This window comes from Homo sapiens, chromosome 2 (genome assembly GCF_000001405.40).
Source record: "Homo sapiens chromosome 2, GRCh38.p14 Primary Assembly".
Lineage (NCBI taxonomy): Eukaryota > Metazoa > Chordata > Mammalia > Primates > Hominidae > Homo > Homo sapiens.
The window spans coordinates 230688326-230715273 of NC_000002.12; the positions used below are offsets into that span (position 1 = coordinate 230688326).

General features: G+C 46.7%; 2 protein-coding genes and 1 long non-coding RNA gene across 7 annotated transcripts in view, besides 1 other annotated feature; 1 reads left to right on the forward strand and 2 right to left on the reverse strand.

Annotated features, from left to right (window-relative positions):
• Positions 1-1739: 1739 nt before the first annotated feature.
• On the reverse strand, positions 1740-25001 carry LOC124907996 (formin-like protein 16). The gene is made up of 4 exons (XM_047446832.1): positions 23754-25001; positions 7978-8370; positions 6226-6921; positions 1740-2006 (listed from the first exon to the last, which is right to left on the reverse strand). The coding sequence occupies exon 1, from the start codon at positions 24999-25001 to the stop codon at positions 24243-24245; it is 759 nt and encodes a 252-aa protein (XP_047302788.1). The 3' UTR covers positions 1740-2006; positions 6226-6921; positions 7978-8370; positions 23754-24242.
• On the reverse strand, positions 2596-12204 carry LINC01907 (long intergenic non-protein coding RNA 1907). The gene is made up of 4 exons (NR_040038.1): positions 11998-12204; positions 7978-8370; positions 6226-6921; positions 2596-3908 (listed from the first exon to the last, which is right to left on the reverse strand). It is a non-coding gene; the product is annotated as a long intergenic non-protein coding RNA 1907 (long non-coding RNA).
• Positions 24289-25228: a silencer, noted in NCBI's record as "silent region_12412". NCBI's record gives its function as "represses an Ori minimal core promoter by ATAC-STARR-seq in GM12878 lymphoblastoid cells {active_cell/tissue: GM12878}" and the evidence as "EXISTENCE:reporter gene assay evidence [ECO:0000049][PMID:35858748]".
• The window catches only part of CAB39 (calcium binding protein 39), a 108234-nt gene continuing 105802 nt past the window's right edge, over positions 24517-26948 (forward strand). For 3 of the 5 annotated variants that reach the window (XR_007076406.1, XR_007076407.1, NM_016289.4), the window contains exon 1: positions 24517-24905. The gene's annotated coding sequence lies outside the window, so the exon portion shown is untranslated. Of the gene's footprint in view, positions 24906-25222; positions 25734-26948 lie in introns of those variants that run through there. The other 2 variants (NM_001130849.2, NM_001130850.2) reach the window with 2 other exon arrangements.

Here is a 26948-nt window from a genome sequence, read left to right on the forward strand (position 1 = left end):
AAGGTCCAATCTGTATTGATCTGGAGAAGTTCTGCAGTATATCAAATGTTTATGGTTTTGCACGTCCCAATTACAAGAATCAGAAGGGCATTAAAAACAAAAAGATAAAAAAGCTTATGCAGAGATGGTGTTAGTAGTGACTCAGGGCATTCATTATTTTATGGGAAGGGAATTATTAATAAATTACTTCAGGGGTAGAATTGCCAATTTTACGTCACTTTTATGACAAAATAAATCAAATGTGCAAATGCTCAGTTTTGTATATAATTCAGCATATGATTGTATATGTGTGACCAATTCTGCTAAGTATAAAGTCCCATGACAGTTTTATTCAGAAAATACAAATAATACAAAAATGCAGAACTAATTTTCTGGTCCCAAGATAGCTTGGCAAATAGCCACGTTTATAAATATTTTCTGTGACATAATTTGTACTATGACTTAACCAAGATGTCTTTAGAGATAATATTTGTTAAAGTAGTCAGTGATAGAACTTAGCCCATTTATGACTAGTGTTCCATTACTGGAACACTAAGTATGTGGGAGTTATTTGTATCCTACTGCTCAAGGTCATTGCCAAGTTCTGATTGCAAAAATTCAAAAAATTGCAACCTCAGGCATAAATGGGTTAATCTGAAATGCCAGTTAAAAATTGGGCTGTTTCCACCCCTGCCTCCACCCTCCGAGCTTTGCATGTTCCACTAACCCGGGCAGGTGGCAGGTGGAGGTGTCAGGCTGCTGGCATCTCTTCGAGGGCAGAACACTAACCTGACCATGGGCATCCAACCCAATAAAAGCAATTCCAACCTTAAAATAAATAAAAATAAAATTAAACAAATTGGGCTGTGGCGTTTTTTTGTTTGTTTATTTGTTTTGATGGAGTCTCCCTCTGTTGCCCAGGCTGGAGTGCAGTGGTGGGATCTTGGCTCACTGCAGCCTCCACCTCCCAGGTTCAAGTGATTCTCCTGCCTCAGCCTCCCAAGTAGCTGGGATTACAGGTGCCCGCCACCATGCCTGGCTAATTTTTTTAGTTTTAGTAGAGACAGGGTTTCTCCATGTTGGCCAGGCTGGTCTCGAACTCCTGACCTCAAGTGATCCACCCACTTTGGCCTCCCAAAGTGCTGGGATTATAAGCGTGAGCCACCGCACCCAGCCTAGGCTGTTTCAATGCAATTTTTATTTCTTTTCTTTTCTTTGTTTTTATTTTTTTGTTTTTTGTTTGTTTTTTGAAACAGAGTCTTGCTCTGTCACCCAGGCTGGAGTGCAGTGGTGCAATCTTGGCTCACTGCAACCCCCACCTCCCGGGTTCGAGCAATTCTCTTGCCTCAGCCTCCCAAGAAGATGGGATTACAGGCTTGTGCCACTATGCCCGATTAATTTTTGTATTTTTAGTAGAGAGGGGGTTTCACCATGTTGGCCAGGTTGATCTCAAACTCCCGGCCTCAAGTGATCCACCTGCCTTGGCATCCCAAGGCGCTGGAATCACAGGCATGAGCCACCGCACCCGGCCTGTTTCAGTGTAATTTTAATTAGAAACATCCCATGGTGTTAGGGTTAATTTGCTTGGTAATTTTAACCAGGAGCATGCAAATGATTATTGAATTCATTGGGATTTTATGTTATTAGAGGTATCTCATCCACCCATAATGTAGCCTTGTGCTTTGGGTTGTGGGGTGGTTTGTGGTATAATCACTATAAAATAGGCCTGGGCCACTGAACACCAATAGTCAACACAGATATGCAGACTACAGACACATTTAATAAAATGTTACATTGTTGGTAATTATACATTGTGAAAGTAATTTTTGTCTCCTTTAATCTGTCATTTGTTTGTTGCATAGTCAGTCTTTATCTTTGGACTGGGTCCAGAAATGGCCAGAAATGTATTTTAATGATCCTGGAAGTGGCTAGTAGCATGTGCTGTGGATGTGGAATTGGTATGACTGGATGCACCAGGGTCTGCAGAAGCTGCACCAAGATTGTGACTGTACACAGAGATCTTCAGCCTGAAAGAAATCAAGTTTCAGTTTGATGAATTTGATCTGGGCCATCTCCAACACACTTTATGTACCTTATGTACTGTGATGTACTGTTCCTCAGACACCGTGGCAATCTTCTGCATTGGTCCTAAAATAGCTGGAGATATCGCAGCTCCTTCTTGGGGGCCCTGCTGACAAGTGGAGGCCAGTTGCTAAGCCCATCAGCTGCATCGTAGCTGCAGCAGTCCAGGCGCGGTCACCCAGACCATGCGTGGACCAGAAAGAGCCCATCTTCTGCATCACTCCAGGAGCAGCTGAACAATTCCTTTTGGAAGCAGTGGGACGAAACCAAGTAGCTGGCAGCTTCCCCGGGCTCTCTTCCACTGTAGCAGAATCTTGAGAAAGCTGGCTTCCAGCCACGGCTGCTGCTTGAGTGTATGGGTCTGGTGCCTCCATCCCATTTCCTGCATGGCCCTGACCCCTGGATCCTTCTTATTCGAGAAGGTGAGCCAGTGCACACACTGGCAGAGGTCACTGGTTGTCCTCTAGTGGGGGGTCAGGCGTGTCTGTATTGGTGCTTGTCCCACCTGGCAGACCCAGCCTACTTTTTTTTTTTAATCCGTAGATGAACAGGGCAGAAGATGCCAGGTAAATAGGGCTCTACTGCTTCTTGACTTCCTGACCAGCCCAGCCAGCAGGCACTGCCTGGGGTGGTCAGTAGGCTTCCTATACAAGTATTCTGGGCCACCTCTCATTGAACCTCCCCCACATTTACACATCATACCCACTCACACACACCCACACATTCACCTATGTGCACCTCCCCCCAGCACACATACTCACCAGTCAAATGGGCAAATCATGCAAGGGAACCACGGCACATTCCTCTGCTTAATAGATGCTCCTTTCCTATTCCCCTCCCAACCACCAAGAATGATGTCATCCACCAGGAATCCAAACTCAACCCTCTGCCCTAAGACCTAAGGCAGAAAGGATCTGACTACCTGTGGAACCGCGAGTTACTGTAATGCTTGTCACATTAGATTACAGGATGTCAGGGAGTCTTCTGAACTCAGGGACACACCAGTATGGACAGACAGCACAGATGAGTCCCTGCTTCTAGGGTGCCCCATTGGTGCCAAGAGCATAACCACAGAGGTCCTTGACTACTCCTTGCAACCCTTGCTGGACACCCCACTGCTCCTGGCCCCCCTAACTGGAAGACTTTGGTTTCATCCTCACTTAGGTAGTTGGACATGGAGCTGTCTGCCGACTTGGGAACCTCTCAGCCATGCATATAGGGCCATGATATTGCTAGAGGACTTTTGTTCTTCTGCTTATTTTTAAAAGACCAGTCCTGTTCAAAGTCATCTCCAAGCACATGAATTACATAAAAATAGGCTTTAAGGCTTAGAGAGATGAAACTTGGCATCAGAGGTCCCTGAGGAACGGCCACTGCAGCTTGACACCACTTTGAGCCAGGAAAACTTAGTCTTGGCCACTTAGAGTAGGCACTTAACTTTGAACGATTGGAATTTTCAAACAACCAGGTTCTAGGCAACCACTTGGTTAAAACCTTGTTATACAAGCCCAAATAACAGGAGTCAGCCAAGACCACCCTGACTTGAAGAAGATTCTCCATCGTGAAACAGTTATCACTGAGCAATCTTAAAATCCACCAGCATAACCAGATACCAGCTGCAAGCCAATGCCTACCACAGCCGTCCCTAGACAAGGTCTCCCACCCATTCTGCAGGGATTCCAAAAGTGCAGAGAACGGGGCAGGGGGCTAGCTCTGCCATTTTGACCCCTCCAGCATGTTCCTTGGGGAAAAAGCCAGAATACGGGTGTGCATTCTGCCATGACATCAACGTAGAGGGACGCAGATGTCAGATCTTCTGGCAAGACATACTCAGGTCAAGGTCAGGCCTAGGAAGACAATGAAGACTTCTTTACTCATTTCTGATGCCAGAGCCTCTGAAAAACTGGACTCTGTAATATTCTTGGTCCCTTGAAATGCTGGTGCTATGGATGACATAAACAAGACAATCCACACCATTTCTTGTACCAGAGCCCCACTTCCAGCCATCATAGCTCTGTTCATCAAGGTTGAGTCCTAAATCCACGAACTACCCACTGGCCACAGTTTGCATCCCAATTCTGGAGACATAGTACAAAGCCTAATGTATGTCAGTCTACCTCTCTATCCCCCATCTTTGTTGAAAGTGTGGCCAGACGCAGTGCTAGGATTCACACCTGTAATCCTAGCACTTTGGTAGGCCGAGGCAGGTAAATCACTTGACGTCAGGAGTTTGAGACCAGTCTGGCCAACATGGTAAAGCCCTGCCTCTACAAAAATGCAAAAATTAGCCCCGTGTGGTGGCGGGCACCTGCAGTCCCAGCTACTTAGGAGGCTGAGGCAGGAGAATCACTTGAACCCGGGAGGCAGAGGTTGCAGTGAACCACTGCACTCCAGCCTGGGAAACAGAGCAAGACTTCATCTCAAAACAAAAAACAATAAGTGGGCCAGTCCTCAGAGGCATCCTACCACCGCTACACACAAGACTGATTTTCAGCTGGAATCCACTGTATTTAGTTGGTGCCTGTATAGTTATACTTACTGAATAATTTTAACATCTCCCCTGGCTACATGCCATACAGTCAGCATAACTCATTCTCCTATCTTGCTTCTGATGAGTCTTTCTACTTTGTTATTATTATTATTTTTTTTTAGATAGAGTCGCACTCTGTCACCCAGGCTAGAGTGCAGTGGCATGGTCTTGGCTCACTGCAACCTCCACTTCCCAAGTTCAAGCAATTCTCATGCCTCAGCCTCTGAGTAGCTGGGATTACAGGCAGGCACCAACACGCCTGGCTAATTTTTGTATTTTTAGTAGAGACGGGGTTTTGCCATGTTGCCCAGACTGGTCTTGAACTCCTGGCCTCAAGTGCTGTGCCCACCTCGGCCTCCCAAAGTGCTGGTATTACAGGTGTGAGCCACCATGCCCGGCTTACTTTGTTATTCTTTATATGACCCAGAACACACTTTCTGCAGTAAGTACAGATTCTCAAGCACCATGAATTGCCTCCTCTGTACAGGCACTGGGCAAGGCCTGGGAACATCACAGAGAATACCCAAAGTCCCTAAGAATTCTCAGGGGTTCCCCGGTTATCACTAGCCCGCGGGACCTCGCCACCGACATGCTTGTTTTATCAAGCTGAAGCAGGTATCTGACACATCAAAGGAAAATCAACTATGGATGGTGGAGCCTCAGGCAGCCAAAGAGATGATTACAGAATGGAGACATCATCTGGGTCTCCTCACCCTTTTTGTCACATGACCTTGCTGAAATCAGGAAGAGCACCTTTCGATTCCTGTGAAGTTGCAGAGATGGCAAGTCCTGTTGCTTGCTGCCTTCAAACACCCCTGACTACACACTCAACCCAGTGGAGCCATCACTGCCTGTCCTGTGCCCCCACCAAGAAGGGGAATGAGATGAGGTCAGATTGATTAAAAATGTGCATGCCTTTTATTTTTTTGGCCTCCCCCTCCCCAGATTGTAGGGCTTCCCCTTGGCAGTTTTTTTTTGTTTGTTTGTTTGTTTGTTTTGTTTTGTTTTGTTTTTTGAGACAGAATTTCGCTCCTGTTGCCCAGGCTGGAGTACAATGGCGTGATCTTGGCTCACTGCAACCTCCACCTCCCAGGTTCAAGTGATTCTCCTGCCTCAGCCTCCCAAGTAGTGGAGATTACAGGTGTGCACCACCATGCCTGGCTAATTTTGTATTTTTAGTAGAGACCAGGTTTCACCATGTTGGTCAGGCTGGTCTCAAACTTCTGACCTCAGGTGATCCACCCTTCTCAATCTCCCAAAATGCTGGGATTACAGGCGTGAGCCACCACGCCCAGCCTCCCCTTGGCACTTTTAACTTCCAGGCTTACCCTTGGCCTTCATACTGGTCACTAAGCCAGCTCCAAGACCTGAGTGGCACCTGCTCCAGTCCAGTTCTGCCTTGGCCTGGCTTCTGCCCAATGCCTGTCCAGGGTGGGACCTAAGCTGCCTGGATATTATTTCCTCCTTCCGATAAAGGCATACCTGGGTGTGTTTACCACTGTCTCAGCTCAGAAGCATCTCAGACCAATTCCTTTCTATTTCACTCAAGACAGAATGTGGGAGTTTCCCCTCCACAACTGCACCACTGCCTGAGGTGTCTAGGGCCACACTTCCTTCTCTGAACTTGCTCATACCTGAGATGTTGAAAGGGCGGCTGTCCGAGGGATGAGCCACAGGAGGACTGCAAAGAGGCTCAGCACAGATGGTTGTCACTCCAGCAGGACAGTCAGGGGCGAAGTGCTGGCTGCCCTTATGAGAGTTCGTCGCTGGCACTGTGACAGACGAAATTCACTTGACGATTAAGGAGATGGTTTTATTCAAGCTAGTGCCATGAAGAGAATGCTCATTAATGAGGGACATCTCAAAGAAAAGGAAGGGGGCCTGGGATTTTGCAGACGAAGGTAAAAGAGGGAGGCATTGGCCAGGCGCGGTGGCTCATGCCTGTAATCCCAGCACTTTGGGAGGCCGAAGTGGGCAGATCACCTAAGGTCAGGAGTTTGAAACTAGCCTGGCCAACATGGTGAAACCTCGTCTCTACTAAAAATACAAAAAAAAAAAAATTAGCTAGGCATGGTGGTGCATGCCTGTAGTCCCAGCTACTGCGGAGGCTGAGGCAGGAGAATCGCTTGAACCCAGGAGGCAGAGGTTGCAGTGAGCTGAGATTGCGCCACTGCACTCCAGCCTGGATGACAGAGCCAGACTCTGTCTCAAAAAAAAAAAGAGGGAGGCACCCTGGAGTCTATGGGAGTCATGAGGCAGGATGAAGACCAGTCTTCTGGAAGAAACTGGGAGGGCAGTGTGGCCTTTTGCGGTCATCTGCTTTGCCATTTCTGAAACACAGAAAGGTAGAGACATTTCTTAATCATCACTGCTGAAGTTGTACAGTGCTCAGATAAAGTTCAATACTTGCCAAGTATGGTGGCTCATGCCTGTAATCCCAGCACTTTGGGAGGCCGAGGTGGGCGCATCACTTGAGGTCAAGAGTTCAAAGACCAGCCTGGCCAACATGGTGAAATCCCGTCTCTACTAAAAAAATACAAAAATTAGCCGGGTGTGGCGGCACACGCCTGTAATCCCAGCTACTCGGGAGGCTGAAGCAGGAGAATTGCTTGAACCTGTGAGGCAGAGGCTGCAGGGAGCTACGATCATAAGATCGTGCCACTGCACTCCAGCCTGGGCAGCAGAGTAAGATTCTATCTAAAAAAAAAAAAAAAAAAGTTTAATATTGTCAGTCCCAGCTCTTGTTCAAGATGAATATTCCCGATCACTGAAGAATTCAGACTGAAGAATGCAGGCACTGCCTGAGTGGGGTGAAGCAGGGCCTAATGAACAGACTCTCTTACATTCTTGTTGGTGCTGTTCCCGTGAAACCAGTTCAACCATCTGTTAAGAGGTGAGTTGTTTTAGGGTCCAGGAGAACAGGCATCTGTTTTTTTTTTTTCATTATTATACTTTAAGTTCTAGGGTATATGTGCACAACGTGCAGGTTTGTTACACAAGTATACACGGTCCATGTTGGTTTGCTGCACCCATCAACCCTAATTACATTAGGTATTTCTCCTAATGCTATCCCTCCCCCAGCCCTCTACCCCTCAGGCATCTTAAAAGAGGGATGTCTAAGCATGGTGAAATCCTGTCTCTACGAAAAATACAAAAATTAGCCGGGTATGGTGGAGGGCGACTGTAGTCCCAGCTACTCAGGAGGCTGAGGCAGGAGAATTGTTTGAACCCAGGAGGCAGAGGCTACAGTGGGCCGAGATCACACCACTGCACTCCAGCCTGGGCGACAGAGCAAGACTCCATCTCGAAAAAAAATAATAAAAAGTAAAAATATATATATATAAAGAGGGATGTCTAAAATAACGAAATAATAATATAAAAGTTACATTAAAGTAAAAGCCAGTAGTTGAATCTGAGAATTAGCTGGTTCAGTGAATTCCAAGAGGTTAGCAGAAGAAAATCTTCCAGCACCAGTTTTTGAGTTTCTTAAAGCTGTCAATGTCTTGTGATATTGTCCACAATCTTGGCACTTGTCACGAAAGGGCATACATGGCCTGAGCATTTTGCTGGGCTTCCTTAGTGGTCCAGGCAGCAGCTTGTCCAGGGAGAATTCATGGTATCCTGAAGGGCTGAGTCTTTCAAGGTTTATGCCAAATCGCTAAGCCTCAGCTTGTAGAACTCCTTCAGATTCTGGGAGAAAAGGCCAGCTGCAAGGCAACCCACAGTCCTGACAGGGATTTGGGCAGTCGGGTGTTAATTCTTGGTGATGCCAATTCAGGCTTGAGGAAGAAAAAATGTGAAAGTTAGTTTGGAGGACTGTAGTCAGATATTGAAGAAAACTGGAGAAATTGAAAACCTGGTAAGGATTGACAATTTGGGCAAGGCAACAGGATCTAATCAAATTTAAAGGTAGGTTCCCAAACTGGTTTTTCTATGAGGAGTAGGGAAAGGCAGCCAATTAAATCTCATCAGACAAGACAGAGTTTGCATAGTCATCAGCTACCTGCAGTGTGTAAAGAGGTCCAAGAAGACTCAAAGGCAATGCACAGGGCTGGAGTCTGATAACCAGAAGGGTGTGCTACATATTGAAACATAAAATTTCTCATTTTAGACACCTGTCTTTTGACAAAGATAATCTCAAAGAAAAATTTTTCATCATCACAAAATAAGGCTGGCCTTATTAGGTATAGTCTCACTATTTACACAGGAGCAGCAAGAATGGTACTTTAGCAGATAGGCCTCCTTAAACTTGCTTTGCTGGAAGCTTTAATAAGGTATCTCAGATTGGACGTTTGAAAGCCTCTTGAGACTAGGAAGCCACACCAAGAACTTGACATCCAAATTACTTCTGGTACCTATAAATATGAGCAAATTCCTCTCTTCTCAAGGACCCCTCAATATCCTACAGTTCACGGGCTTGCAAGGAAGTGACCTTCCTAACTTACGTGTAAGGCTGACAACTCTGTAAGTCAGAGGGCTGGCAAGCATTGGCTCCATAAAGTCAATCCTAGTTACTTTAATGTATCAGGTGATTTCTGATTAAATGAGCATCATTCTCAAACATGATATTTCAGGCAAAGTTTTGGGTGCATAATCAATATTTCCAATTATGTCCTGTTAATAAGGAAGGCAGATTCTCATTGAACCTATGCAAATAATCATATTGCCATAAAATTAAGAATACTTAATGAGAGTTTCTGAATTTTGGAGAGGTCAGGGAGGGAGAATAAGATATTTAAAAATGGTTTGTTTCTGGTTACCAAAGTCTGCCAAACTGTTACGAGTCATAGAGAGCTTAAGAGAAGAGAAGGGGGTTCCTTCATATGCAGAAAATGGAACATTAAAACCACATCTAAAACATTGCAAACAAAACCCACCATCATTCCTTATCAGTTCATTTAGTCTTAGGTAATAAATTCTTGTTCCACTGGATTTTGAGTTGGTCATCTCATGAACTAACCAGCGTCTCAACTAGAGTTCTAGAAATCCTGACTCAGTCCACTGATGTGGTCTCATAGCTGTTTGAATGATGCCGCCAGAAGCTTGCACTTAAAGTCCCTCGCATAGTCCTTTACTGCATGTCTCTGAGACAGTCCTTCTTTGTTGAAGATGAAGCACTGTGGTCTGTAGCTGATTACAAGGGCTTTCAGGGAAGCATCAGAGTAAAACAAAAAACCCTATCAGTAGATGACAAAATAAAATGGCTGTGCTTAGGCCGGGCGCAGTGGCTCGCACCTGTAATCCCAACACCTTGGGAGGCCAAGGCGGGCAGATCACAAGGTCAGGAGTTCGAGACCAGCCTGGCCAACATGGTGAAACCCCGTTTCTACTAAAAATACAAAAATTAGCTGGGCATGATGGCGCATACCTATAATCCCAGCTACTAAGGAGGCTGAGGCACGAGAATAGCTTGTACTCAGGAGGCAGAGGTTGCAGTGAGCCGAGATTGTGCCACTGCACTCCAGCCTAGGTGACAGCGTGAGACTCCATCTCACAAAAATATATATATAAAATAAAATAAAATAAAATGGCTGTGCTTAACTATTGACAATTTTCAGAAGTGAAAGATCTGCTGGGAGTTTATAACAAGAATAGTAAAACTGACAGGGATGTTGTTTGTTTCTGTGGCATGCAAACCAAAATAAGAAAATCAATCTAAAAACTGTTTTGGATGAAATATTTACAAACATAATGAGTAACCCTACTTCCAAAGAAAAGTGAATGCTATCTCCAATTTATAAAAACAGAGGAACATAATCTTTACCGAGAAAAAATCTTTAGGTATAACATATAATAATACCAACATAATATACCACTAATATACTAAACATATTGTTAGAATATATTAAGAATATATAAAGAACATAAAGTGAAGAGATTCTGTAAATATGGAATAGGTCCAAAACATCTGCATACTAATAAAACTTCACAGGTAGGTGATGTCAGTCCCCAGTTGAAAACCCCTGGCAGGGCCGGGTACAGTGCCTCATGCTTGTAATCCCAGCACTTCGGGAGGCCAAGATGGGCAGATCACTTGAGGCCAGGAGTTTGAGACCAGCCTGGCCAACATGGTGAAACTCCATCTCTACTAAATATATGAAAATTAGCCAGGCACGGTGGTGCATGCCTGTAATCCCAGCTACTCAGGAGGCTGAGGCACAAGAATCACTTGAACCCAGGAGGTGGAGGTTGCAGTGAGCTGAGGTTGCCCTCCAGCCTGGGTGACAGAGTGAGACTCTGTCTGAAAGGAAGGAAGGAAGGGAGGGAGAGAGGGAGGGAGAGAGGGAGGGAGGAGGGAGGGAGGGAGAGAAGGAAGGAAGGAAGGAAGGAAGGAAGGAAGGAAGGAAGGAAGGAAGGAAGGAAGGAAAAGAAAGAAAACTGCTGGTATAGGAGATGCTATATTCAAATTTAAAAAGTTATGGCTGGGTGCAGTGTCTCACACCTGTAATCCCAGCACTTTGGGAGTCTGACGTGGGGGGATCGCTTGAGTTCAGGAGTTCAGGACCAGATTGGGCAACATAGCAAATCCCTGTCTCAACAAAAAATACAAAAATTATCTGGGTGTGGTGGTGCACACCTGTAGTTCCAGCTACTTGGGAGGCTGAGGTAGGACAATCGCTTGAACCTGGGAAGCAGAGGTTGCAGTGAGCTGAGATCAAGCCACTACACTCCAGGTTGGGTGACAGAGCAAGACCCTGTCTCAAAAATATAAAAATAAATAAAAATTGAAAAAAAAAACAAATTACAGAAGTTACGATTGAGTTACCACCTTAAGAGATAGCTGAAATTATGACTGAAAATGATATTCTGTGGTTGTCTAACATCAGATAAAGCTGCACCAACAAACATATGGACAATAAAGGCGTTGATGGATCTCTAGGAATTTTTCACATAGCATACAATTCCTGAAATATCTGTATTTAATAACACTTTGTGATACAAATTTAACCTGGACAAGACTAAGTATTTCTTCTGATTTGAGGACTCTTTCCATTCAACTCATCAATAATATATCAAATAAACCTAATTATTTCCAGCACTTCTCTTTTTACGGGGTGAAAAAAAATCATTTGTGGTCTTTTTCTCTGGGAAATCTCAAAGATAGTTTTGGGTGCAGAAGATATTATTTAGGATTAATTTAGGGAAGGCAAAATATTAAGTTATCAGGAGACTTGAACACCTCATTAAGGTAGGATCATGAGCTACTGTGAAACAATTCCTGACTACTTAAAGTGACAATAAAATATTTTTTAAAATAAACATGGGAGGTAACATAATTATAAAGAATCTTACTTTTTCCTAAGTGAGAAAACTTTGCTCTCTTAAATAATCAAGGACACCAGCTTGACTAACATGGTGCAACCCCGTCTCTACTAAAAATACAGAATTAGCCAGGTGTGGCGTACCTGTAATCCCAGCTACTCGGGAGGCTAAGGCAGGAGAATCGCTTGAACCTGGGAGGTGGAGGTTGCAGTGAGCCAAGACCACGCCACTACACTCCAGCCTGGGCCACAGAGCAAGACTCTGTCTCAAAAAAATAATAAAAAATAATTAAAAAATCAAGGACATCTTAAAGTCAACATAAACCAGAGAAGGTTCTTCTGGTAAAACACAGAATCTTTGTTCCCCAGGCAAACTACAAAGAAAGTGAAGAATACTCTTTCACAATCTTGTATTCATTTCCTTTTGCTGTGCCAACACATTACCACACACTTAAGGGGTGTTATTTATTGTCTTAGAGTTCTGGAGATCAGAAGTCCCAAATCAGTCTCACTGGACTAAAAGTTAAGGTGTCAGCAAAACTGGTTCCTTCTGGAGACTTTAGGAAGACAACTCATTTCCTTGCCTTTTTCAGCTTCTAGGGCCCCCTTTCATTCCTGGCTCAGGGCCCCTCCTCTATCTCAAAGCCAGCAGCAGAGGATCTTCCAATCTCTTTCCCACCATGTCCCTTCCCACATCACCTGTTCCTCATTCTGATTCTCCTGCCTCACGCTTATAAACACCGTTCTGATTACACTGAGCCCACCAGAGGATCCTGGATAATTTCCCCACTTCAAGGATCTTAATCACTTCTACAAAGTTCCCTTTACCACCTAAGGTCACGTATTCACAGGTTCCAGGGATTAGGATGTGGACATCTTGGGGGTGGAGGAGAGGCATTGTTCAGTCTACCACACACTACTTAATAAGGACAGACCAATACTTTTCTCATTTTAACAGAGAGAAAAATTCTAGTTTTGTATCAGTATATTTGATAGTAAAGCTCTTTTAAAAAATCATAAATAAGTCCATCAAATCTTAGTAAGCCTTGACCATGACAAAATTCTCTTTTCTAGAACCTTCTGTAGCTTTCTGATGCAGGCGTTTATAGCTACAAACTTTCCTCTTAGTATTGTGTTTGCTGTATCCCTTAAGTTTTTTTATGTTGTGTTTCCATTTTCATTTGTTTCAAGAAATTTTTCACTTTCCTTCTGAATTTTTTCATTGACCCACTGGTCACTCAGTAGCATATTGTTTCATTTCCATGTATTTGTATCGTTTCCAAAATTCCTATCATTATTGGTTTCTAGTTTTATTTCATTATGGTCAGAGAAGATGACTTGACATTATTTCAATTTTTTTGATTTTTTTTTTTTCTTTGAGATAGAGTCTTGCTAGGTCACCCAGGCTGGAGTGCAGTGGCACAATCTCCGCCCACTGCAACCTCTGCCTCCCGGGTTCAAGTGATTCTCAGCCTCCCCTATAGCTGGGACTACAGGCATGCACCATCATGCCCAGCTAATTTTTGTATGTTTAGTAGAGGCAGGTTTTCATCATGTTGACCAGGCTAGTCTTGAACTCCTGACCTCAAGTGATCTGCCTGCCTCGGCTTCCCAAAGTACTGGGATTATAGGCATGAGCCACCATGCCCGGCCTCCTTCAGCACTTTAAATATGTCATCCCACTCTCTCCCGGCCTGTAAAGAAGACTTGGAAGTCTGCTGCCAGGCATATAGGAGCTCCATTGTATATTATTTGTCTCTTTTCTGTTGGTGCTTTTGGGATCATTTTTTTTATCCTTGACTTTTGGGAGTTTTATTATTAAATGTCTTGAGGTAGTCTTATTTGGGTTAAATCTGCTTGGTGTTCTATAACCATCTTGTACTGGAATACTGATATCTTTCTCTACATTTGAGAGGTTCCCTGTTATTATCCCTTTCAATAAACCTTCCACTTTTAACTCTCTCTCTACCTCCTCTTTAAGGCCAGCAACTCTTAGATTTGTCCTTTTGTGGTTATTTTCTAGATCCTGTAGGCACGTTTCTTTTTTTTTTTTTTTTTTTTTTTTTTTTTTTGAGATGGAGTTTTTGCTCTTGTTGCCCAGGCTGGAGTGCAGTGGTATGATCTTGGCTCACTGCAACCTCCACCTCCCGGGTTCAAGCGATTCTCCAGCCTCAGCCTCCCGGGTAGCTGGGATTACAGGCATGCACCACCACACCTGGCTATTTTTATTTTTATTTTTTGTATTTTTAGTAGAAACAGGATTTCTCCAGGTTGATCAGGCTGATCTCGAACTCCTGACCTCAGGTGATCCACCCACCTCAGCATCCCAAAGTGCTGGGTTTACGGGTGTGACCCACCGCACCCAGCCGGCATACTTCATTCTTTTTAATTTTTTTTTTCTTTTGTCTCCTCTATTTTCAAATAGCCTGTCTCCAAGCTCACTAATTCTTTCTTCTGCTTGATCAATTCTGCTGGTAGGAGACTCTGATGTATTCTTCAGCATGTCAGTTGTGTTTTTCAACTCCAGAATTTCTGCTTGATTCTTTTTAATGATTTCAATCTCTTTGTTAAATTTATCTGATAGTATTCTGAATTCCTTCTCTGTGTTATCTTGAATTTTATTGAGTTTCTTCAAAATAGCTATTTTGAATTGTCTGTCTGAAAGTTCCCATATCTCTGTCTCTCCAGGACTGGTCCCTGATGTCTTATTTAGTTTGTTTGACGAGCTGTTTTCCTGGACGGTCTTGATGCTTGTGGATATTTTCTGGTTTCTGGGCATTGAAGAGTTAGATATTTATTGTAGTCTTTGCAGTCCGGGTTTGTTTGTACCCATCCTTTTTGGGAAAATTTCCAGGTATTTGAAGGGACTTGGGTGTTGTAATCTAAGTTTTTGGTCACTGCTACCGTGTCTATATTAGGGGGCACTCCAAACCCAGCAATGCTGCAACTCATGTAGACTCACTCATAGAGGTACCGCCTTGGTGGTCTTGGATAAGAGCTGGAAGAATTATCTGAATTACCAGGCAGAGAATCTTGTTCTCTTCCTTTTCTTTCTCTCTTTCTCCCTTTCTCTCTTTCTGTCTTTCTTCTTTTTTTTTTTTTTTTTCCAGACAGAGTCTCACTCTGTTGCCCAGGCTGGAGTGCAGTAGTGTGATCTCAGCTCACCGCAACCTCCACCTTCCGGGTTCAAGCAATTCTCATGCCTCAGCCTCTCGAGTAGCTGGGATTACAAGCATGCGCCACCAGGCCAGGCTAATTTTTGTATGTTTTGTAGAGATGGGGTTTTGCTATGTTGCCCAGGCTGGTCTTGAACTCCTGGGCTCAAGTGATCCTCTCTCCTCAGACTCCCAAAGTGCTGGGATCACAGGCGTGAGCCACTGTGCCCAGCCCCTTTACTTTCTTTCAGAGTCTCTTTCTCTCTGTGCTAAGCTGCTTGGAACTGGGGGAGGGGTGACACAAAGCACCACTGTGGCCACCACCACTGGGACTGTGCTGGGTCAGACCCGAAGCCTGCACAGCACTGGGTCATGCCCAAGACCCACAGTAACCATTGCCTGGCTACCACCTATGTTCCCTCAAGGCCCTGGGGTTCTACAATCATTGGGTGATAAAACCAGCCAGGCACATGTCCTTCCCTTGAGGGCAGCAAGATCCCCCTGGTCCCAAAGAGGTCCAGAGAGGCCATCCGGGAGGCAAGGCCTGGAGTAGGAAACCTTAAGAGTCTATCTGATGCTCTATTCCACCGTGGCCCACAGTTAAGTACTGCCTGGCCACTGCCAATGTTCATTCAAGGCCCAAGAGCTCGTCAATCAGCTTACCGTGAATGCTGCCAGGCTTAGGACTCACCTTTCAGGGCAGTAGACTCCCCTCTGGTCCAGGGCAGGTCCAGAAATGCCATCCAAGAGCCACGGCCTAGAATCAGGGACTCTAAAAGCCTGTTTGGTGCTCTGCTCCCCTGAGGCTGAGCTGATACCTAAGTTGCCAAAGTCCCCTTTACTCTTCCCACTCCTTTCCTCAAGCAGATGGTTCTCTCCCCATAGCCACCACAGCTGGAAATGCAAAATCCTGCAATCACTGTGCTCTCCCTCACCCAAGACCACAGATTCTCTTCGTGCCCCATGGTTGCTGCCAGGGGATGGGGGAATAGGGAACATCAGCAATTCAAGACTATCTTTCCTACCCTCTTCAGTGCCTCTTTCAGTGATATGAAGTTTAAACCAGGTGCTATAATCTCTCACTTGATTTTTGGTTCTCAGGAAGGTGCTTTTTTGTGGGGTTAGTTGCTCAGTTTGGTGTTTCTGCAGGGAGGATGATCACTGGAAGCTTCTTTTTTTTTTTTTTTTTTTTTTTTGAGACGGAGTCTTGCTCTGTCTTTAGGCTGGAGTACAGTGGTGAGATCTCAGCTCACTGCAACATCCGCCTCCCGAGTTCAAGCGATTCTCCTGCCTCAGCTTCCCAAGTAGCTGGGACTACAGGCATGCGCCACCACGCCCAGCTAGTTTTTTTATTTTTCATAGGGATGGGGCTTTACCATGTTGGCCTGGATGGTCTCAATCTTCTCACCTCATGATTCGCCCGCCTCGGCCTCCCAAAGTGCTGGACTACAGGCATGAGCCACCGCGCCTGGCCTGCTTTTCCTTTTTTTCTTTCTTTATTTTTTTTAGACAGAGTTTCAATCTTGTTGCCCAGGCTGGAGTGCAATGGTGTGATCTCGGCTCACTGCAACCTCTGGCTCCTGGGTTCAAGTGATTCTCCTGCCTCAGCCTCCCAAGTAGCTGGGATTACAGGCACATGCCACCACACGTGGCTAATTTTGTATTTTTAGTAGAGAGGGGGTTTCACCATGTTGATCAGGCTGGTCTCAAACTCCTGACCTCAGGTGATCCACCTGCCTCAGCCTCCCAAAGTGCTGGGATTGCAGGCATGAGCCACTGTGCCTGGCAAAGCCTGGTTTTCATCCTAGACTTTTTTTTTTTTTTCTGAGAAGGAGTCTCACTCTGTTGCCCAGGCTGGAGTGCAATGGCATGATCTTGGCTCACTGTAACCTCTGCCTCCCGGGTTCAACCAATTCTCCCGCCTCAGCCTCCCAAGTAGCTGGGATGACAGGCTCATGCCACCACACCCAGCAAATTTTTGTATTTTTAGTAGAGATGGGGTTTCACTATGTTGGTTGGCCATGTTGGTTGGCCATGTTGGTTGGCCATGTTGGTCTCGAACTCCTGACCTCACATCCTAGACTTCTACATCCATCAGAACACCAAGTACTTACCTTATAAATATTTTTTTTCTAATGGATTCACTTTTACCTATGCCCATTGCTGCAATCCTAGCTCAGGCCCTCATTACCCCTTCCCAGAATGAGAACAGCTCCCTGCTGGTCTCACGGCCTTCAATCTGGCCTTCCTCTCAGCCACAGCACACACCAGGATCAGAGTGGTGTTTCCAAATCTATAGTACACATTTGAGTGTGTCACTCAATGGCTTAAAGGTTCAATGCCCACCTACCTAACCCACCCCCACTATCTTCATGTTGAAACCCAATCTCCTTAATATGGATGATATGGCTGTTCAAGACTGGCCCTTTGCTTATCGCTCCAACTTTATCGGTGCCAATTCCCTTCCTCAAACTCTAAGCTTTATATAATTAACTACCCATATGAAGTTCCCTAAGTTCACCATGTTTTTGGTGTTATTTGCATGATTTTCCTTGAACATTTAACCCCATCTTCACTTGACTAAATCTTATTCGTGTTTCTTATCTCACTCTTTTGTAGTTGCCTATTTTCTTGTGTGTCTTTCCTGGACTATAAGCTCACTGAGAGCAAGGACCACACAGTGTTCAATGTCTCATTCTCACTGTTTGTGCTCAGTAATTTTTACTCTCAATAAGTATTTGTTGAATAAACAAAGTTTCATTGAGATTTACAGCAGGTTTGGTGAGTCTGAGGGTGTGGGTAGGGTGGAAGGATGGGAGGCGAAAGAGATAACTAGAGTTCATGCTTCAAAGGTAGAGTCCTTCTGGTGCAGTATCCAGGGTGGGGCTAAACAAGTGGTTTTTGAAGTGGAGTAGAATTGAAGGTCACTGGAGCAGAGAATACAAGGCAACTATGACCCCATAGATGGGATGAGTGGCACTTGGTGTTGCCCAGGAGAAGTCAGGTCAGGCACCAGGTGGGGTGGGGAGGGAAGCTGTGAGTCAGGCTCCAAAGTCCTTTCATAGATGGTCTGATTAAGGCAGGGAGGTGCCTTCATCCTAATTCCAAGCTGCACGGGGAGAGGAAGGGAAATGAAAGTGATGGAAGATACACAGAGAGCCAGCAGTGACTCAACGAGAATCATGGCACTGCCTTATAACCCTGAGATCTGTGGGCCCTCATTAGAGAATGAAGGGCCTCCGTTCAAAAGGATTTCATGATGAACAGGTGGGAGAATTTTCTAGAAAGTGGTTGTGTCTACAGAGAAGCATTTTAATAGAAAGGTCTTCCCAGAGAGCCCAATAGAAGGGTTTAGAAGATGTCTCCCAGTGTACATTCAAGTGGTCAAACGACATGATTTCTTCCAGTTTGGTTTCAGAATTTGTTACAAACCCCTGTATCAGAAATGTCTACTGTCTTACTGCTACAATTCTCAGCTGTTTCTCCCAGTTAAGACATTAATCTGGAATCTTACTCTGATCCTTAAAGCGAAGCAATTAAAACCCTGTATATGGGATTATCCACCCCTGTGCATTCTTTTTTTCTGTGGGAAATTGGGTCCACACTTGTTTTTGTGAAATGTCAGCACAATAAAAGCCTCTCTTTGGGACAACAGTTACAAAGAACTCTCATCTTAAAAAAAAAAGTCCTAATGAAAAAAGTTTCAAAATTCGACATCACTTGCAGTCTGACCTGTGGGCTGGTCACCTTCCTTCCACCCTTTCACGGTTAGCAAAGAGGAACCGAGGGACATCGGCAAACTTGCACCTCCTCACTTCCAGGGCTGCAGGATGTTTCCTCAGCTGATTTCTCTCTGAGTCCAGCCCCACAGCCCCTGTAGGCCTCCTTCTCGGCGTAACGGCTGGGCTTGGTTGGGATGGACTTTAAACGTGCTGACATTTTTCTTACATTTCATATTTTGTAGTTAAGTTTTCCATCTATCTGCCTATCTAGGTTCATGAGCAAGGTTAGTCTAGTTTTCTTTTTTGTGTGTTGCATTTATTGAGGTTTTGGTATCATGCCAATAATCAGAATAACATCAGTATCTGGCAGGATGCAGTGGCTCACGCCTGTAATCCCAGCACTTTGGGAGACCGAGGTGGGTGGATCACCTGAAGTCAGGAGTTCGAGATCAGCCTGGCCAACATGGTGAAGCCCCATCTCTACTAAAAATACAAAGATTAGCCTGGCGTGGTGGCAGGCGCCTGTAATTCCAGCTACTTGGGAGGCTCAGGGAGGACAATTGCTTGAACCCGACAGGCAGAGGTTGTAGTGAGCCGAGACTGCACCACTGCACTCCAGCCTGGGTGACACAGAGAGACTCCGTTTCAAACAAACAAACAAACAAACAAACAAAAAATCAGTATCTTCCTCCACCCCTTCCCATCTCAGCTTGTTAGAAATGCAGAATCAGGGGTCCACTCCAGACCACTAAAACCATTATCTACATTTCTTCAAGAGCCCCTGGAAATGCACATTATAAATTCACATAGTTCGAGAAGTTGCCCTAGGCCTTATCATTCCTGAAAACCACTCCTTCCATAATCTCGGGAGCAAGCGACCTGGCTCTCCAACCAGCATGTTCTTCCTTCCAGCTCACTCCCTTACCGTGCTGATTCCAACCATCCGTTGATCCTGCCACTTCTACATGGGCCTCTCTCCCCCCACTGCCCACAACCCTTCCTCATTCCCTCCTGGACAGGTGTGGATTTAACAGTCCACCATAATTATTACTTCCTTATTGTACCTTCACCTTCCTTTCCCCTGTTTCCCTCCATGGAATTATCTAGCAAAAACAACCCTGGTGGAATAGATTCCCCACCTTCCCAGCAAAATGTGGCTGCTAAAAAACATGGAATAAGCCTGCCAACTGGTCCTTTACACCTGCTCCTCTCCCCTGGAACTTCCAACACCTCCTCCCTCTCTGCACTGAGCGAATGAATGACTGTTCTTCCTGTTTCCCTGAGGAAATCGAAGCCCTCAGAAGGGACTGTCCACAAGTTCCAGGAACCTCGTCTACCTGGATCTCTGCCTCGTGCCCACATTCTGCCTGCCCTCTTGGAACCGTGACCTCACCTGCCTTGCTCCTATTCAAGGCCAGACCTTCCAGTGCACTCTGCGTCTTTCCCTTCTCACTCAATCAGGGACAGCTCTCCAGAAAACACCCCCCAACCCTCATCATCACATTTTCCCTTACGACTGAATCATTCCCACCAGCATTTAAGCACATTGGAAGAGCTCCCAATCTAAAAACAAAACAAAATGAAATAAAACGAAACATTTGCTCGGACCCCACATTCCCCTCCAGCCATCACCCCATTTCTCTGCTCCTCATTAGAAACAAAACTTCATGAAAATGTTGTCTAAACCAATGGTTTCTTTCCAGGGCCCCCATTCTTTCTAGGGACTCCCCTCCCCGCCCCTTCCTTCTCCTCCTCTCCTGCTTTTGAGACGGAGTTTTGCTCTTGTTGCCCAGGCTGGAGTGCAATGCCGCGATCTCGGCTCACGGCAACCTCCGCCTCCTGGGTTCAAGTGATTCTCCTGCCTCAGCCTCCCAAGTAGCTGGGATTACAGGCACATGCCACCATGCCCGGCTAATTTTGTATTTTTAGTAGAGATGGGGTTTCTCCATGTTGGTCAGGATGGTCTTGAACTCCCGACCTCAGGTGATCCACCCGCCTTGGCTTCTCAAAGTGCTGGGATTACAGGCGTGAGCTACCGTGCTCGGCTTTTTTTTTTTTTTTTTTTTTTTTTTGAGACAGAGTCTCACTCTTGTTGCCCAGGCTGGAGTGCAACGGCACAATCTCGGCTCACTGCAACTTCCAACTCCCAGGTTCAAGCGATTCTCCTGCCTCAGCCTCCCAAGTAGCTGGGATTATAGGCATGTGCCACCACGCCTGGCTAATTTTTTGTATTTAGTAGAGATCACCTGAGTGGATCACCTGAGATCTTCTTTCCTTCTCTTTCTTTTTTTTTTTTTTAACATAGTCTCCCTCTGTCACCCAGGCTGGACGGCAGTGGTGTGATCTCAGCTCACTGAAACCTCCATCTCCTGGGTTCAAGCAATTCTCCTGCCTCACTCTCCGGAATAGCTGGGATTACAGCCATGCAACACCACGCCCTGCTAATTTTTGTATTTTTGGTAGAGATGGGGTTTCACCATGTTGGCCAGACTAGTTTCGACCTCCTGGCCTCAAGTGATCCACCTGCCTCTGCCTCTCAAGGTGCCAGGATTATAGGCATGAGCCCCCTCACCTGGCCAGATTTTCCTGGATCTCTTCCTACCAAACTGGCTCCTCCCTCTCAGGGTTCTTTGCTGGTTCCTTACCATTCCCTGACCTGTCATTGTTGGGGGACTGGGCTTAGTAGTAACACTCACATCCTAAAGGATCTCACTGAATTCAGAGGTTTTACCTACTCTGAGAACCACCTAAATTCTGTCTGTGGCCCAGACTTCTCCTCTGAAGTCTTCTTTTTTTTTTTTTTTTTTTTTTTTTGAGCCGAGTCTCGCTCTGTCACCCAGACTGGAGTGCAGTGGCGCAATCTCAGCTCAATGCAACCTCTGCCTCCCAGGTTCAAGCAATTCTCCTGCCTCAGTCTCCAGAGTAGCTCGGACCACTGGCGCACGCCACCACACCCGGCTAATTTTTGTATTTTTATTAGAGACGGGGTTTCACCATGTTAGTCAGGCTGGTCTCCAACTCCTGACCACAGGTGATCCGCCTGCCTCAGCCTCCCAAAGTGCTAGGATTACAGGCGTGAGCCACCGCGCCAGGACTTCTCCTCTGAACTCTTAAGTCCAACTTCCAACTTGGGTGTCCAACAGGCAGCTCAAACTTTGTATGTCCCTAAGTAAATTTCCAAGTTCCTCCCTTCACATCTGTTTCTGCTTAAATTTTCCCCATATCACCAAATTGTATTTTCCAGTTGCTTGAGAAAAAAAAAAATTAGAAATCAGGAAAATCCTTTTAGCTTTACCCTTTATTTATTTATTTTTTTTCTTGAGTCAGGGTCTCACTCTGTGGCCCAGGCTGGAGTGACAGTGGCACAGTCACAGCTCACCGTAGCCCCGACTCTCCAGGCTTAAGTGATCCTCCCACCTCAGCCTCTGGAGTAGCTGGGACTACAGGCACATGCTACCACGCCTGGCTAATTTTTTTTTCTAGAGACAGGAGTCTCACTATGTTGCCCAGACTGGTCTCCAACTCCTGGCCTCAAGTGATCCTTCCTCCTCTGCCTCCCAAAGTGGTGGGATTACAAGCGTGAGCCACCTTTTATTATTATTATTATTATTGAGACTGAGTACTGCTCTATTGCCCAGGCTGGAGTGCAGTGGCACAATCTTGGCTCATTGCAATCTCCCCTTACTGCAACCTTTGCCTCCCGGGTTCAAGCGATTCTCCTGTCTCAGCCTCCCGAATAGCTGGGATTACAGGTGCCCGCCACCATGCCCAGCTAATTTTTGTGTTTTTAGTAGAGACAGGGTTTCACCATGTTGGGCATGGTGATCTCGAACTGACCTCAAATGATCCTCCCACCTTGGACTCCCAAAGTGTTGGGATTCCAGGCGTGAGCCACCTTTTAAACGTGTCTACAGGTGATCATTTTACTCTTCTACTGCCACCACCCTGGACAGAGCCTTATCTTTTTTTTTTTTTTTTTTTTTTTTTGAGATGGAGTCTCCCTCTATCGCCCAGGCTGGAGTGCAGTGGCGCGATTTCGGCTCACTGCAACCTCCGCCTCCCGGGTTCAAGCAATTCTCCAGCCTCAGCCTCCCAAGTAGCTGGGGTTATTTTTGTATTTGTAGTAGAGACGGGGTTTCAACATACTGGTCAGACTGGTCTCGAACTCCTGACCTCAGGTGATCCCCCTGCTTCGGCCTTCCAAAGTGCTGGGGTTACAGGTGCGAGCCACCACGCCCGGCCGGACAGTCTTATCTTTTGGCTGGCTGATTTCAACAGGCTTCTCGCTGGTCCCCCTGCTGAAACCCTCAGGGCTTTCAGTCTGGTCCTCATACCACAGCCACAGGGATCCTCCTGAAATGTCATTCCACGTCCTTTCTCTGCTCGCAACCCTTCAAATTGCTTCCCATCTCCTTGAGAGTAAAAACAGGAAGTCCTAACTTTGGTTGGTAGGGCCGCACTTCTTCCTCATCTCTTCCCCTATCTGGGGCCGCTTTCAAGCCAGCAGATTCTCGCCTCAGGGCCTTGGTCCTGCTATTCCCTCTGCCTTTCCATACAGAAAGCTCCCAGGCTCTCTCTCTCCAGGAAGCTGCTCCCTGAATGAACACTGTAAATAACAACACCCTGCTTTCTCTCCCCTCCTCACCCAGTGGTGTTTTTAACTGTCCAGTATTTGTTTTTTTGTTGTTGTTTTTTGTTTGTTTTGTTTTTGTTTTTTGGAGATAGTCTCGCTGCGTCGCCCAGGCTGGAGTGCAGTGGCGCGATCTCGGCTCACTGTAACCTCCGCCTCCCGGGTTCAAGCGATTCTCCTGCCTCAGCCTCCTAAGTACCTGGGAATACAGACGCCCGCCACCACGCCCGGCTAATTGTTTTTTGTATTTTTAGTAGAGATGGGGTTTCACGGTGTTGGCCAGGCTGGTCTTGAACTCCTGACCTCGTGATCCGCCCACCTCGGCCTCCCAAAGTGCTGGGATTACAGGCGTGAGCCACCGCGCCTGGCCCAATTGTCCAGTATTATACATACCTGTAGGTTTATTAGTCAATTATTTGTCAACTGTTTGTGCTAGGAGCATGGACTGTTTCGCTCACTGCCCCATCCCTGACGTACAGGAGGCGCTTAAAAAGTAGTTCAGTTACACATTAAAAACAAAGAAACAAAAATACACACATATGGCATTTGTATGTGCCAGGCTCCGTTGTCAGAGCTTTGCAATGCACTGTCCCGTTCATCCTCAGAAGCCCGTGGCTGGTACCACTATATTATTACACACTTTTTTTTTTAATGTGTGAGGAAATCCAGGCACAGGGACGTGAAACAGCCCATAGATAGCAAATGGTGGAGCAGGACTTAAATCCAGGTTGCTGATTTAAATAGGAATATTCCCATTAATCTGGAACGTTCTGGCACTTGTCCCCCTGGATGCTGTGTCCCCCTGGATGCTAAAATGAAGCGATCTGCTCCAAGAAAGTAAGAATCGGTCTGCACAAAGTGGGATCCCGGCCTCTCGCAGAATTAAGCTTGAAGAGTTGAGGAAGTGGTCGTTGAAAGTGGGCGTGCGATTCCCGCAGTAAGAGCGCTCAGGCGGAGGAGAAAGGGCTGAGCCCCGCCTTGGAAGCTGCGGCGGAGGAAGAGGAACTGCGGGGCTTGGCTTCTGCTTTTCTCTGCGGCCCCTCCCGCTCGGGCCTCGCGCCTACTTGCGGCGCCCTGAGTCCGCCGGCCGCTCGGGGGCGCCCGAGGCGGAAGGGGGCGTTGCGGCACCGCCCGACGTCGCGTCCTCGGCGGCTGCGCAGTGCGCACGTCAAAGCCGGGCTCGGGCCGCAAGCGGGGCGAGGGGTTCGGGGAGCGGCGCGGCCTGGGAGACACAGAGCCTTCAGGCGCCGGGGCGGGGGCACAGGCGAAGACTAAGGCGGCGCCGGGCCCCACAGCAGCAGCCGCAGCCCAAGCGAGCGCAGCAGCGCGGCGGCAGCCGCGGGAGCCCCTGGGCAGCCGTCCGCCCGCGCAGCCGCCGCCGCCGCGGGAGCCCGTCGCCGGGAGCAGGAGCGGGCGGAAGACAACGGAGGGGCCGAGCGTCCGAGCCACTCCGCGGGGACCGAACGAGCAGCCCGAAGCGGCGGCGGCCGAGGACGGGGACAGCGACGACGCGGAGGCAGAGAAGGGAACGCCCGGCCCAGCCCCGTGAGTGACCCCCGGCCGGCCCTGCTCGTGGTGCGGACGCCTGCCCGGCTTCCGCCTGCCCCGCTGGGCCCTCACCGGCCCCGGGGCTGCCTCCATTTTCCTGGGTGGCGGCGGCCCCGGCCCAGCTTGTCCCCGGAGCCCCCGGGAGCAGCCGGGCCCAGCCTGCCCTCTCCGCCCGGCTCGGCTCCGGTCCCTCGCTGAGACGCTCCCTTTGCCTTCGCCGGCGTGGGGCGCCCGGGGGCCTGCAGTCCAGGCGCTCCTGCCTCTCCCCCCGTGGTTCTCTGGCGGGGCTGGCGGCGCGTGGTGGTCCGGGCCGGAGTCGGGCGGGCGGGGAAGTGCGGGCCGGGTCAACTGTCACCGGCTGCACCCGGGCTTCAGCGCCTCGCTCCCGCCCCTGGTAAACTTCCTGTTGTCGGGAGGCAGATACCAGCTTTGTGACCAATTCAGGAAAATGCCTAACTGATTTCTGGTTAGGAATTGGGCGGTCGGAGCGTTCTGGAGTTCAATGGAACCACCCCAAGCGCAGACTGCGTGCAGGCGCCGTAGTCGGCCCGCACCGGAGGGATTCAAAGGTGAAGCGGGCCCCGGTCCCCTCCCCCGAGGAGCTTAGGCTCTGGTGTGAGAGATAAGACGAGAACACAAATAACTGCGATACCGGGAAGGAGGTGATAAGTCCTGTGAAAGAACGACGGAGTGCTAGAACGGCACCCGGAAAAACCGAACCGATCACTTCTGCCTCGCAGAAACCTGGAAGGCTTCCTGGGCGGGGGATGCTGAGCAGAGTCTTGAAGGCCTGATGGGATTTAGGAGAGGAGGATTGCAGAAGAGGTGTGTGGAAGGGGTAGCAAAAGCGAGAAGACAAAGCCTAGAAATCATGGATAATTCCGTTTGTTGGCATGGTGCAGGGGGCGGGGGGTATTGGGCTAAAGAGGTATTTTGGGGCCAGATCCTTGAATGCTGTAGAGGAGCTATTTGAGCAGCATTCTAAGAGAAACTTAGAGCTCATTTCTCAGTGACTCATGAGCCCGGAAATGTAGGCTAGGGGATATTAAAGGCGCTCTTGTGAAAGGAGAGAGGAGGAGGCCCAGTCAGGAGTTGACATTCTGTGCCTTGAATGTAATGCAGTTTCAGATCGATTTTGACAGCTTCCCAGATAATCAAGTAAATCCATGCCCAGGCTAAGCAAAGTACCTTTGCAGAAAGCTTCATTAGATATCAGGCTCTTAAGAGGTAATGGAAAGGTGTCTATAAAATAAGCTCATCTGCACACAGAAGGTGTTTCTATTTGTGCGTTCGCTACAGTGCATAAAAACTTCTTGCACTTTGTATTAGGCGTATGTACTTTGGAATTACTAAGCTAAACCTACATTCTTTGAGGTGGCATTTGTGTAAAATAACATAAATTGATGATTTTTAAAAAATGGTTAGTAATATTCTGCTGTAGAAAGCCAGACGTAGACCTTTTACAGAAAGGTAAAACTTTGTTTTTATATTTTATTTTATTATGAAATCTTTATAGTAGAGCCAGAAGTGAAAGTGTTTAGCTTTATTTTGTAGTTTGTTCAAATTGTTAGGAAGTAATTAGCAGCTGTATTCGAAATCTAGAATATACGATCTGTGAAAGCAGCTTAGGGCCTAAGTTTTGTAAGCTTGCACTTGTTTGCGTGTATGACAAGTGAATGCCACCTTTTTGCAGTTTAAAAATTTTCTGCTTTTCAAAATAATACATGATCTTTGTCAAAGCTTCCAAAATTCAGGGAGTGCTAGAAAATCTTTAAAACATTTTCTATAATCTTACCACTTAGATTTGGTTACTGCTAACATTTTTGCGTATTTTCTTTCCAGTCTTTTTCTGTGTATTTTTTCTTTGCATAATGAAATATATTGTATGCATATGTATACACACACACATCTCTTATTAAGCTTTTCTTGTCATTAAATATCTTCATATAAAAAATTTTTACTCAACAATGGAAGTCTTCTAAGCATGTTATGTTTTCCTGACAAGGTTGTATTATTTACCTCAGATGAAATGCAGTAGTT